This window comes from Homo sapiens, chromosome 18, assembly GCF_000001405.40.
Source record: "Homo sapiens chromosome 18, GRCh38.p14 Primary Assembly".
Taxonomy (NCBI): Eukaryota; Metazoa; Chordata; class Mammalia; order Primates; family Hominidae; genus Homo; species Homo sapiens.
This window is the reverse complement of record NC_000018.10, coordinates 24,481,747-24,496,164: the sequence shown is the minus strand read 5'-3', so window position 1 is coordinate 24,496,164 and position 14,418 is coordinate 24,481,747. Positions and strand designations below refer to the sequence as shown.

Sequence of the window (14,418 nt, the reverse complement as noted above, 5' to 3'; positions counted from 1 at the left end):
CATCTCTACTAAAAATACCAAAATTAGCCAGCCATGGTGGTGCATGCCTATAATTCCAGCTACCTGGGAGGCTGAGTACAAGAATCACTTGAGCCTGGAAAGTGGAGGTTGCAGTGAGCTGAGATCATGCTACTGCACTACAGCCTGGGCAACAGAGTAAGACCCAGTCTCAAAAAAAAAAAAAAAAAAGAATACTTATTTATTTTACTCCACAATCTGCAATTATGTTCAGGGCTTGGCAGAGATGGCCACCTCTGCTCCATGAAGCATCATTTGAGGTGGCCCAACGAGGACTAGAGGATCCACTTTCAAGAATGGTTCCCTCACATGGCTGCCAAGTTGGTGCCAGCTATCAGCTGGGATCCGAATCAGAGATGTGAGTTAGGGGTCTGAGTTCTTCTCCACATGGGCCCCTCCCCAGGACTGCTGGGGCTTTCTGCAGCACAATGGCTAGGTTCCAGAAGTGGGTGTTTCCAAAGATAGTAAGAGGTAGCTCCCAGTCTTTGAAGACTTGGGTGCAGGAATGTGCACATCTTCACCTGCACTGTATGCTCTCGGTCAAAGCAGCTACAGGGCCTACCAATCTCCCGGGAAAGGAGACATGGACCCAATCTCTTGAAAGAAAGATTGTCAACCAATTTGTGTCCATCTTTAATCTGCCTCAAGGATGTCAAGACTTGGAATAGGTTGGCTATGATTGCTCAGAGATGTGACCCTTCGTTTTCTTCATGAAATTTCTGGATTGGTGTGATTATTATGCACTAAAGTCCATCTAAGTCACTTTAAATGATTTTCTTCGCATGAAATCTGTTGATAATCATGCTTAAACCACTTTCCCTCCTTTAAGTTAGAGTACAAGAGTGAGTTCTTAAGAGTTATTTTTTCTACTGTAGAATGCTTTGAAACACATCTCTTCCAGCTCCAAGATCTACGTATATTCATGAAATCCTTAATTTAGTTTCTGCCAATGATTTAAACACTATTTTTATCATAATACTTACCACCACCAAATGTATATAAATGCAAAATCATATGTCCTAGATCAGTTTTAATGTCATGAATGATGTTTATCAGATTATCTCAAGTAAGAAGTGAATTCATTTGATGTTATCTAAAAATCTTAAAGATTACAAATGTGTTATTACAGTTGTGTGTTTATGGTATGAAGCTCCTACTTTAGAGTGAAGCTCTTGTAGGTGAAATAACAATTTTCTTTGAAGAATTTTACCTCGTAGCTAAATTTGCTGAGAATAAACCATTCCATCAAGTGGGAGATACTGGCCTATGAGTACTGCATGTTGACAAATAAGGTTGTTAAACCATGGAGACCAAGGAGAACATTCTTTACAATGAAGCGGTTGAGGTGGTCACCACCTTAACCAAACAATCAAACTCACAACCACATCACTAATGGTGTAACAACCTGATGTTAAATGCCTCCCAGCATGATACAGTAGGAAGTAAATGGTACCAACTGTAAAATAATCTTGCCCAAAATGACTTGACTCTAATTGAGCCTTAATATCTTTCAGTAAGCCTTTCTCAGCTAGTTCCTCAACTGAACCATGGATCCACAGAATATGAGTTGAGTGATGATTGTCAGTTCTCCTAAGAATGGAACATAACTACTACTATTCTAGTTGCATGGGATAGAAGTTAATTCACGACCTAAAATGAGTGCCTTAGGACAACACACCTCAATTCTCTCATGGGTCCCCAGTTGTGAAGGGTCAAGTTCAATGAGAAAATAATCAGACAAATCCAGAATGTAACATATTCTACAAAACAACTCATCTACTTTCTCCAAAGAGAAAATATCGTGGGGGAGAAAAAAAAACATGATGATTATTAATTAAAGGACTCTAAAGACTTCAGTCACAGTCGATGATAGTTTATGCCTCTTTTTGGCTTTCATCTACAAGGATTCATACAGCCTGTGCTCTTGTATCAAGCTTCTTTCACTCAACATGTCTGAGATTCATCTATGCTATTGCAAGATGCAGTATCTCTTTCCTTTTGTTACTGTGTAGCATTTCTTTGTATATACATATGCCACAATTCAGTTATCTATTTTATTGTTGATGGATATCTGTGACATTTCCAACTTGGGGACATTGTGAATAAAGCTGTTGTAAGCATTCTTGCACGGGTCTTTGATGGCATATGCAACTCTGTGGTGTAGACTTAGGAGACGAATTACTGGTTCATAGAATCAGTATCTATTGAAGGGTTTTAAATACTGCCAACAATTTTCCTAAGTGGTTCAACCAATTTGCACTTTCAGCCAAAGGATCTGGGAGGTTCAGTTGTTTCATACCCTTGCCCCTTCTAGGGGATGGGGAAGAGGTCATATTGACAGAGAAACAGCTTGGGGCAACCTTCAGGGGCAATAAAAATATTCCATATATCAACCTGGTTGGTGGTCATATAGGGGTCACAATTTTTACATAAGTATGTAAAAATTGATCAAGGTACAGGTTTAAGGTTATACACTTGTATGTAGGTTCTGCCTCAATGAGAGATGAGAGAGCAAGAGATTAAAAAGACAACAACCAAATGTAACGGGTGAAACTTGATTGGCTCCTGGTTCAAAACAAAAAACACTTATCAGAGACAGTTTTGAATCACTTGGAGAAGTTTTAATATGGCCTGGATATTAGATGTTATTAGGGAATTCTTTTTCATTATCTTAGGTGTGATCATTGTATTGGGGTTATTTAGGAGAATGTTAGTATTAGGAAATGCATGCTCGGGTATTTAATTAGGGATAAATTGTCATGCTGCCTGTAACTTACTTTCTAATGTTTCAGCAAATGTGTCTGTGTGTGGGCGGGGGGGGGGGGTCTGTGTGTGTGTACACATAAAGATAAAAACAAAACAACAAAACAAATATGGAAAAAAATGTTAACCATTGTTGAATCTAGGTGGTGGATATGAACTTGTTATATTATTTTTTCAACTTTTCTGAATATTTAAAACTTTCCAAAACAAAAATAAAATGTGTTTGGGGGAAGATATAGAGAGTTGAAGTGACCAGCTTAAAATAACAAGGTAACAAGGAGAAGACCCTAAAAGAAAATTCTAGCAATCTTGACCCTCTCTGTGCCATCCTGTACATTGTCGCTTCCCGGTGTTCAAGACTGATTGTTAAATTTGAATATGTTTTTTAAATTTTATTTCCTTCTTCAAAGTGCTTCCAAGAGTCTAACAGGAAAGCACAAAGACACCCCTAGATTTCTCTTATAAATAAACTTGCATTCTGCCTGCAAATCAAACCTCCCCCTGCCCCCATCTCTCGCCTGTTACACAGCTACTTTCAAAATCACTCCACAATCATTTGACCCATGTCCATATTCCCTTTTTCTAATGCAAAAGCTAAATTGAAAGCTAAGCGGCCCTGGCAGCCCACAAAACCCCATGATTTCTGCCCTGAGCGGGAGGGGACCCGGTGAAACGCCGCGCCGCTGTTTCAGGTTCACTGCCCAGCTGCCACGCTCAGCCGAGCTTCTCAGGTGGCTGGGCCACTTTGAAGGTTTACTTTCAATTAAAAAAAAAAATAAGAAAGAAGCCAAATCAGCAGCTGTCAGGGATGCAGGGGAGATTTATTCCGGGTGGTCAAAGGGGAGCGTGGTCCCCAGTAAAGGCCTAAAGTTAGGCAGGAAGGAAATTCAAGCTGGAGAGAGAAATTCCTCCTGGCAAGGTCAGCCGATGCTGGGCTAGTCCTTCTGGGTAAGGCTGCCCGATTCCTATTGCTGGACCTGCTCAAAAGGGAGCCGAGGAGTCGGCTTGCAGACACTTGGAGAGTGGGTTTGGGGAGGGAGACTGTCCAGGGGGAGCTTTGAAAGCAGAGCTTATTAATCAGATGAAACCAGGCCTGAGGGATCCAAACATGACTGATTTTCAAATTGCTTCCTGATTCAAAAGCTGGTGTTGCCCACCTCAAAATGTGATGAGGTGAAGAGGCCAGGTCCCTGGGCAGTTCTGCATGCATCGAGCTTCCATTGAAGTCGGCCTGTGTGAAGAAGCAGAGCAGCTGTGCAGAGCGGAGCTGGAGTGGGGGGCTGTGGTTTTATCACCTTTCATTTCCTGTCTCAGTTCTGATATGGCTTTAGACGTTTCACATGCAAGTGTGAAAACTAGCATGTGCTTTGCAGAAGGAATCAGCCAAGCGCCCCGCTAACCCTGATCAATGCCCTGGTAACTTCTAGAACCAATCAGTCAAGCTACATGCATGGGTTTTAAACTATTCTCATCCCCTCTCCCCTGTTTACAGCCATGTTATTTATCCACGCAATCCCGGAAGTAATTGGAATATAGAAGCTCGAGTGGGTTCTATGCCCTCTCCATTTCCTCTGGACGTACTAATTATCCATGTTATACCCGCTTGCTTCTTACCATGGGTAATAAGGGTTATCACTGACGCTGTTAGTTAAGCTAATAGACATTGCCCAGATATCCCAGACCTCATTAGGTATTTAAGATACCTATATGTTTTTTATATTTTTATATATATTTCAAATACCTATATTTATTTTATATTTGTATGCATTTTAAATACCTAATGAGGTATTTAAAATACATAAATGTATGTAAATATATGTATTTAAATAAATACATATATGTATATATAAAATACATATATGTATATATAAAATACATATATGTATTTAAATAAATAAATATATGTATATATAAAATACATATATGTATTAATATATGTATATATAAATACATATATGTATTAATATATGTATATATAAATACATATATGTAATTTAATATACGTATATATAAATACATATATGTTTTTATATGTATATAAATACATATATGTATTTTAATATACGTATATATAAAAACATATATGTACTTAAATATACATGTATTTAAAATACAGATATATGTATTTAAATATACATGTATTTAAAATACAGATATATGTATTTTAAATATACATGTATTTAAAATACAGATATATGTATTTAAATATACATGTATTTAAAATACAGATATATGTATTTAAAATACAGATATATGTATTTAAATATATATGTATTTAAAATATGTATATATACACATATAGACAGAGATTTAATTTTTTAAAAGCAAACAAAATTACAATGAATTAAGCCCATTTTGTCGGATTTCCAGACGTTGACCTTCTTGTATCTCTCCTGTCATTTCTGACAGTTCCCAAAGAGAGGCCCTTGCACACGTCCATAAACCAGTCTGTCAAAGGAAATCAGCCTGAAGCAGCCACCCTCTTTTGAGTCGTGGCTCTGGTTGTCACTTGCCCTTGTCCACCACGTGGACCTTCTGGGTGGGAAGCCTCAGCGCTTCCAGTGCCCATCTGGAGAATGCAGTGGTTATGCAGGCCTCCAGATGACACGTTTCTTCCATGGGAGCTCCACATTCCATCTGGGTTGTCAAAATGCTGGGTTCCTTGCATCATGGACAAAAATGACTTCCTCTCTGGCTCTGTATCACATTGTGACATCTGGTCACTAAGGCAGCTCTGTTATGCCAAGAGAATCACAAAGTGTCTTTTGAAAGGTTTTATCAACTTTTGTGTTTATAAAATAATTCATAACTTCTGGTCATCATTCCTCTATCCAGAGGAGTTCAAATATAAGCCAGGAAGATAATTACATTATACACTGCTTTCTTTTTCTTCCTCTTTCTTCCCAGCTCCTTTTTCCCCACTTTTATTCCCCGATTTTCTTCTCCAAAATATTTTTCTTTCTCTTTCCCAAGTTACAGAACAAAATCTCATAAGATTTTAGTATACAAAACACATATTGATAGAGATGGAATGAACGTATTAACTCTATTAACACTATCTGGGACTGTCCCTAGTCAGTTGCAATTTTTAATAAATCTAAAAAGCCAAGCTGGGCATGGTGGCTCACGCCGGTAATCCCAGCACTTTGGGAGGCCACTGTGGGTGGATCACCTGAGGTCAGGAATTCGAGACCAGCCTGGCCAACATGGTGAAACCCTGTCTTTACTAAAAATACAAAAATTAGCTGGGCGTGGTGGCACGTGCCTGTAATCCCAGCTACTCAGGAGGCGGAGGCAGGAGAATCACTTGAACCTGGGAGGTGGAGGTTGCATTGAGCCAAGGTCGAACCACTGCACTCCAGCCTGGGTGACAGAGTGAGAGTCTGTCTAAAAAAAGAGAAATAGGCTTATTTTGTGAATTATAAATAATGCCTACATCATGAAATAGATCAATCCTGAAAATTTGACCTTAGAACAATTTTCACCAAAACATACATTATTTCCCCCATTAGCATCTATTATATTATCAAAGACAGAGTTTCATAAAAGCAAAAATTTGAGTGTAACAGATGACCCAATTTAAATAATATAAAATATGTGGGGTAAGATAAAGATTTGATGGGGAAGGGGTACCATATGTCTTTATGTGAAGGAATGGCACAAATGTAAAAGGTTAAGTAGATGTTTTGGTACAACTTATAGAAACAGTAAACGTCACCCCAACATGCACATGCTGCCTCAGTGACCAAGAAGGAAGTCACCCCATGGCTAAAGATAACGACTTAAAATGTGTAATGAGAGGCCGGGCGCAGTGGCTCATGCCTGTAATCCCAACGCTTTGGGAGGCCAAGGTGGGCGGATCACTTGAGCTCAGGAGTTGGAGACCAGACTGGGCAACATGGTGAAGCCCCGTCTCTACAAAACACACACACACACACACACACACATACACACAAATTAGTCAGGCGTGGTGGTACATGCCTGTAGCTTCAGTTGCTCGGGGGGCTGAGATGGGAGAATCACTTGAGCACGGGAGGTGGAGGCTACAATGAGCTGAGATTGTGCCACTGCATTCCAGCCTGGGCAACAGAGCGAGGCCCTGTCTCAAAATAAATAAATAAATAAAATGTGAATTAGATTCATGGAAAATGGTGTAATATGAAATTAGAAACTATTTTTGTAATAAAAATCGTATCACTGTTTATACCCTGATCATTTAATTACAAAAGAAGCTCTGTTGCTTCTTTTGGGGTTGGGCATTAACTGGAACTGAGCTACAATACCAACTATAGCCAGTAGATGGTGCTTTCGTAAAGGAAAAAAAGAATAGAAGTTGAAAATTCTGCTTCTGGGGAGATATTTGAAGTTAGAGATCTTGAATTTACTGGATACTTAACATGTGGTTTTTACTAAGAAATAGACAGCTACTTTGAGAGCTCACTGGGAACTGGGGATGTAAGAGTAGATATAAGAGAAATGCCAACAGAAGAATTGTTTAGGAAAGATGGACATAGGTTTGTGAATGGGTAAGATAAGAAGTACCTTTTTTCAGTGGATTTTGAGGAAGTAAGATTTTTTTAAAGTTGTGGAGGTCCTGGAGTGTGGCTATTTTTAAAAAGCCAAAAGCTTTTAGTTGGGGCACAGTGGCTCATGTCTGTAATCCCAGCACTTTGGGAGGCCAAGGTGGGGTGGATCGCCTGAGGTCAGGAGTTCGAGACCAGCCTGGCCAATATGGTGAAACCCCATCTCTACCAAAAATACAAAAATTAGCCGAGCATGGTGGCGGGCTGTAATCCCAGCTACTCAGGAAGTTGAGGCAGGAGAATCGCTTGAACCTGGGAGGTGGAGGTTGCAGTGAGCCAAGATCATGCCACTGCACTCTAGCCTAGGTGACAGAGCAAGACTTCATCAAAAAAAAAAAAAAAAAGCCGGTAGTTTTTAATATTGTTAGGAAAGATTCAGGAATGACACTAATGACATAGATACAGAAAAAACTTTTCTACTTACCTTATAGTCTCAGGGGATTTTAAGGGATTCTTGAAGAAGTGATTCTGGTTTGTAATGTCACAGGGCAGCGAGGTGTGTGTGTGTGTGTGTGTGTGTGTGTGTGTAATGTGGATAGGAGGTGGATGGGGTGGGTTGTGTGGTGTGTGGAGTGGATATTGGGGGTGGATATGTGTGGGTTGGTGTGGGCCTGTGTCTGTGTGGATGAACAGAAGTGTGTCACGCGTGGAGAGGGCAGGTGTGGGGGTGGATGCAGCGAAGTGCGTGTGTGTGCACGTATGCCCTCATGTGAGCACCTGGGGCAGCCTTACCTTCTAGCAGGGGAGAAGGAGAAGTCATTGTTTTATCATTTTTTAGGGCGTTTATGTAGCCTTAACTGATTTTCTGAGTTTAATTTAATACAAAATATTGAGAAGTGAGTGGGGTGCTGTGATCAGACTGCTTTACATTGTAACACAAAACAACCCTACCCGTGTACTCAGTAGCTGCACAGACAGAACCAGAACAGAGAAAAACTATGTGGAGCTACTGACATCTGGTGGACAACACAGAGACTGCTGACATGGATGGGGGAAAGACCTAACTTCGGGATTTTGTTGATTTAGATTTGCTTTTTAGTTTTGGTCCTGTTTGTTTGGGGTTTGTTTGTTTGTTTGTTTGTTTGTTGTTTTTTCTTTTTTGAGACAGAATCTCTCTCTGTGGTGCAGGCGGGAGTGCAGTGGGGTGATCTCAGCTCACTGCAGCCTCGACCTCCTAGGCTCAAATGATCCTCCCACTTCAGCCTCCTGAGTAGCTGGGACTACAGGTGCTCACCACCACGCACGGCTAATTTTTGTTCACCATGTTGCCCAGGCTGGTCTCCAACTCATGACCTCAAGTGATCCACCCACCTTGGCCTCCCAAAGTGCTGGGATTACAGGCGTGAGCCACCACGCCCAGGCGATTTGTTTTGTTTTGATTTGATTTGATTCAGTTTTTTGTTTGGTCCACTTACCAGTCACCTCTTTCTACATGCTCTGTCTTATTAACTTCCCTATGTGAGAATGGTGTGAACAGAGCCCCCTGAGAGTCGAGAGACAGTGTGGGATGAAGCTTCAGCACCTGGACTCAAGTTTCAGATCCCTGAATTCAAGTTCTGGCTTCAGCACCTGCTGATTGTGCTGCCGGAGGCAAGTCAACTACTCTCTTCATCCATTTGTTTCTAAGGAATGAGGCCATTCATCCCTGTGCTGGTGGAGTAAGTACCGTACCTAAATTTCTGCATTACCATTATCCATGCAAATCCTATTTCAGCCTTCTCCAGTCAAAGCCTTGTCTATACAATGTCCAAGACATCAGCTACACAGCCTTGCTGTGGAAGGACTGGGTTGCCTGAAAAGATACAGGGCCAAGCAGGGCTGCTCTGCAGTGGGGCAGCTGTACAGCACTGCCCTCTCTTGCGTCCCTACAAATAGTACTATAAAAGAAGCAATTAATCAAGCTATGTCACTTCACTGCGGCGCACATTCATGCTCACGTTCCTGTTGACTCCGTGCCAGGCGATCTCTAACTCCTTGAAGGCAAGGGCTCTGCCTACCCCGTCCCCTAGTAACCACTCCATGCTATGAACCTGGCTAGGGGCTATCGTCTCAAAGCATCAGGGATTTTCCTCAGTCTCGAGAATGGGCTAGAAGAATATGGCCTTCAGAACTTCAGATCATCCATGTGACGCTAAATGGAAAAAAAATACAAAATAAGAATTGTACTCACACCAACTTGATTCCAGAAATGAGAGGCCAGGAAACGTAGAACCTGCAACCACCCATCTAACTGGGCCATGACCCAGATGGCCTACATTGGAGGCAAGGAAACAGGAAAGACAGAGTAATAATTTTAAAAACATTTGTTTCCAGTTATCTAAGAAGAAACTGGTAAGTGTCTTCCTATGGAGGAAAAAGCATATCTTTTTTTTTTACATCTTTATCTTGCCTATTGGAAAGTTTCAGTAAGGGTGAATATCAGAAAAATGTTCACAGTTACCCTAAACTTATTTTGCAGGTTGTTTTCTTTTATGATCAACTGTGAAATTTAGTAAGAGAGCAGAGAACAGGCGGTTTGGAAATTTGAAATAAGAGATAAAGCCGACTCCTTCTACTAATCCTTTCACAAGAGCTACTAATCTTTAACCAAATGGGCTGGTTCTCTTTAAGGTCCCCTTTCTTCTTTTATTCCCTCACAGAAGTAGAAGCATGTGAAGAAATGACTATGAACATAAGCAAGGAGAAATGCATTTTTTAAAAAGGCACTATTTAATACAAAGTGCATAAGCAGTCCTTAGGTTGCAGTATATGACTCAAGGTGGAAACTTGAAGAGACTGAATGAGGTAATTCAGGGAAAGATGCTCATAGCTAAGAACAGCCTGTTTTTCCCTGCGATGCCCTTCCTCTTCCATTCTCACAGTACAATTTTACTCTCTTGGGTGCCTCTATCCTACTATTGTTATGTTGTGTAGTTTACGATATTTCAAAATCAATTATCTTTACCACTAAATCATTTCTCAATGAATATTGAGAAATAGTCATGACCTTAAAAAAAAGTTGGTTCTCTTGCATGATAATGTTCAGTAGCTTCTGTCTTAGCTATCACACAAGAATAAGCAATGTAAATATCTGCTTCTCTTTTCTACTCAACTTTCGGAGGCTGTTTAATACACACCAGGGTAACTGCTTGACATGTCAGTTAGCTATTGCTGAATAGCAAACACTCCCAGAATGTAGTCTTATCATTGCTCAGGAGTCTCTGGGTCAGCTGGGTGATTCTTCTTGTCTAGGCCATGCTAGGCTTCCTTCAGCTGATCTCATTTTGCCTGGGATTGCCCACGCATCTTCAATCAGCTGCTGAGTTAGCCTGAGTGAGGCTGGCTGGTCTTAGATGGCCTCACCTAAGACACCTTGATTCTGCTCCACGTGGTCTCTCATCCTCCAGGAGTCTAGCCTGGGACATGTTCACCTGGCAGCTGGGAAAACTGCCAAGAGATAGAACAGATGGGCACAGGCTTCTTGAGGCTAGGCTTGGAACTGGCAAGGTGTCATTTTCACTGCCTGTTGACAGCAGTCTGTTGGCCAAAGCAAGTCACTCTTGATGGAAGAAGCTACGAAGTCAGAATGCAAAGGGTGGGGATACAGTCATAGTGCAAAGGCTGTGGAAGGTCTGCACATTGTGGAAGGTCTGCACAATGTGTACAAGGAAGACAATCAGATCTTCACGACAGCTCCAATTTTTGAATAACCCTCAGAGTAGACATTTATTATCTCTACCTCCTCTTTTGTTTTTTCTTTCTCACTCTGTCACACAGGCTGGAGTGCACTGGTGCAATCATGGCTCACTGCAGCCTAAGACCTCCCAGGCTCAAGCAGTCCTCTCATCTCAGCCTCCCGAGTAGCTGGGATCACAGGCACACACCACCAGGCCCAGCTAATTTGTTTGCAGAGATGGGGTTCTGCTATATTGCCCAGACTGTCTACCTTCTTCTTCTGGTAACCGTACACCCCTTCATTTGAGGAAATTGTTCCTCCCTCTTCTGCTCACCTGGTTTGAAAAGAGCAGATCCTACTTCCCTGCCAGGAAGAGGAACTGACATAGGTGGGCAGTCCTGGCATCCACCCTCCCCTCTAGAGACTGGTTCAGTGACATGCACAAGATACCAGCTGGGCACTCTATTGATTTTTTCCAGCATTTTTTTCTCAGTGTTACTAGGAGAGACCCTTTTTCTATCCGATTAAGAGGAACACAGGCATCCATCGTTCCAGCCCTGTGCAGAAGGCAGTCTGAGAAAATGAAGTTGTTGGAATCTCTGGCTTTGGCCTTCCCTGGGGTCAGCTCCCACCACTGTCTTTATGTACTTTGGTTGTAAAAGCCAATTAGCTCACTTTTGCCCAGGTGGTTCAAATTGTGTTTCTATCATTTGTATCCAAGAGAATCCTAATTGATGAACCCCCGAGAACATAAAATTTCCAACAGAAAAGGCAATGTTTGTACTTTCCGGGGTACTCACTAAAATAATTTCATGAATCACTTTCTTTTTACTTGTAGAGTAGGGGTTGCAATCTGGATGTCAAAAGGGAGAAACCGGCACATGAAAAGGCCTAAATGAGGAAAGTGGAACCCTGGGGGCTGACGGGTGTCTCTGTCCACTACCGGATTCAGCAAATTGTTTTCTTGAGAGAATGTGGGCCCAATATCACTGAATCTTTCAATTTTTTTCAGGCAAAAAAAGAAAAAAAAAAGCTAAAATCCCAATTTTAAGGAGAAATTTTCCCATTTATAATTCATGACAACAAATTCAACTCATCGTATTGACCAGATGCATCCATGAACTCTTGGAACCTCTGTTATGAAATGTAGAGCGAACTCACCGAATTCAGAGCTGAGCCACTGCTCCACACCTTCTTGGAGTTCCTCATTCCTCCCTCACCTCCATCAACAACACAAAAAAATGTTAGACACTTCGTAAGCATTGCTAACAGGAACAGAGAAAACTTCACTGGCACAAGGGTGCTAGGTTTCGCAGCCAAGTCACTCAGCATACCCACCTAATGGAACATGATTTGAATTTGTGCCTTAAGAAAAATACAAATTACTAGCTGGGGGCAGTGGCTCACACCTGTAATCCCAGCACTATGGGAGGCTGAGGCAGGTGGATCGCTTGAGGCCAGGAGTTCAAGACCAGACTGGCCAACATAGGGAAACCCCATCTCTACTAAAAATACAAAAATTACCTGGGCATGGTGGCTCACACCTGTAGCCCTAGCTACTTGGGAGGGTGAGGCAGGAGAATGGTTTGAACCCGAGAGGCAGAGGCTACAGTGAGCTGAGATTGTGCCACTGCACTCCAGCCTGGGCGACAGAGTGAAACTCTGTCTCAAAAAAAAAGAAAAGAAAAGAAAAAGAAAACTACAAATTACAATATGTAATGGAGTGGTAGGCTGCTTATGGTACAGTTGAAACTGTAGGTGTGAATCCCTAAAGGCCAAAGTTCTACATTATTATGCTTAAACACACGATGCATTTGCCAGTTATTTCTCTGTTGTCTATAAGCTTCAAGCCCACCTTTTCAGATACCACACCATAAGGCTGGAGCTAGGAGTCACACCTACTTCTCAGACTCTCTCATCAACTGGTTCTCAGTTAGCTTCCACCAATGGAAAACACGGGCAAGAAATAGGAAGATGGGAGGTACTGAGAAGAAACTCACTTAGCACTTCTAGCGTGAGTTGACATCTCTCCAGCAGCAGTGCACAACAAGCCTCCTACTTCAATGTACCCCATCCGAGGGACCAGCTGCAGCCGCCACGGCTGTCCCTCAACCCCATGTGGCAGTCTGAGCACCAGCTGGCCCCATCCCTTGGGATGCCCAAGCCCTAACCACAAAGCATCACAAATCAATCAGAAATCCAAGCATCAGTCCTCCAGATACTTCTCCAAGATCCTAGATTTTGATAACATCACTTCTCCCCTTATATTCTCTCAATACCTAAGATGTTAGCTCTTTTCTCAAAGTATTAATCTCTGGGTTAACCAATTCCCCGCATTAAATTTCTTCTGCTTGAAATAATTAACATGGTTTCTCTTTTCTTCATTCAACTTTGACTGATAGCAATTATTAGAATAAAAATTTTCTTTGTATTCTAGAAATTCTTTTTCTGAAATCATAATGTGAAAAAAGGTTTCTTCAAATACCAAGATCTTTACTACAGGAAAATTGTTACTGAAAAGCCACAAAAATAGTTCTGTAAAATCCCAATTAGGGCCGGATGTGGTGGCTCATGCTTGTAATCCCAGCACTTTGGGAGGCCGAGGTGGGCAGATCACCTGAGGTCAGGAGTTCAAGACCAGCCTGGCCAACATGGTGAAACCCTGTCTCTACTAAAATACAAAAATTAGCTGGGGCTTGTTGGCAGGCACCTATAATCCCAGCTACCCAGCTACTCAGGAGGCTGAGGCAAGAGAATCACTTGAACCCAGGAGGCAGAGGCTGCAGTGAGCCTAGATTGCACCACTGCACTCCAACCTAGGCAACAGAGTGAGACTCCATCTCAAAAAAAAAAAATTGCTATTAGGATACTTCAGCTACTTATGACGAAAGCTTCATGACCCATAAAAACACTTAACCAGCTGGGCTCGGTGGCTCACGCCTATAATCCCACCACTTTGGGAGGCCGAGGCTGGCAGATCACCTGAGGTCAGAAGTTCAAGATCAGCCTGACCAACATGGCAAAACCCCATCTCTACCAAAAATACAAAAATTAGCTGGGCGTGGTGGTGGGCACCTGTAATCCCAGCTACTCGGCAGGCTGAGGCAGGAGAATCGCTTGAACCTGGGAGGCAGAGTTTGCAGTGAGCCAGGATCACGCTGTTGCACTCCATCCTGGGAAACAGAGCAAGACTCCATCTCAAAAACAAAAAAACAAACAAAAAAAACCATTTGACCTACAGTGTCATTCCTAATCAGCATTTATATCCCAAAGCCCTTCTTCACTCTTCAGGGGTCCATTTCTATACACACCAACTGAAGACAATACTTAGAAGCCAATATTCTTAGGAATGTTCTGCCAATTATGCCAGTGGATTTGGGTCTGGATTTAAGATGAGCA

The 14,418-nt window shown here is 41.8% G+C and overlaps 2 annotated features.

The window, feature by feature from the left end:
• Positions 3,775 to 3,944: an enhancer, noted in NCBI's record as "active region_13172". NCBI's record gives its function as "activates an Ori minimal core promoter by ATAC-STARR-seq in GM12878 lymphoblastoid cells {active_cell/tissue: GM12878}" and the evidence as "EXISTENCE:reporter gene assay evidence [ECO:0000049][PMID:35858748]".
• Positions 4,125 to 4,184: a silencer, noted in NCBI's record as "silent region_9367". NCBI's record gives its function as "represses an Ori minimal core promoter by ATAC-STARR-seq in GM12878 lymphoblastoid cells {active_cell/tissue: GM12878}" and the evidence as "EXISTENCE:reporter gene assay evidence [ECO:0000049][PMID:35858748]".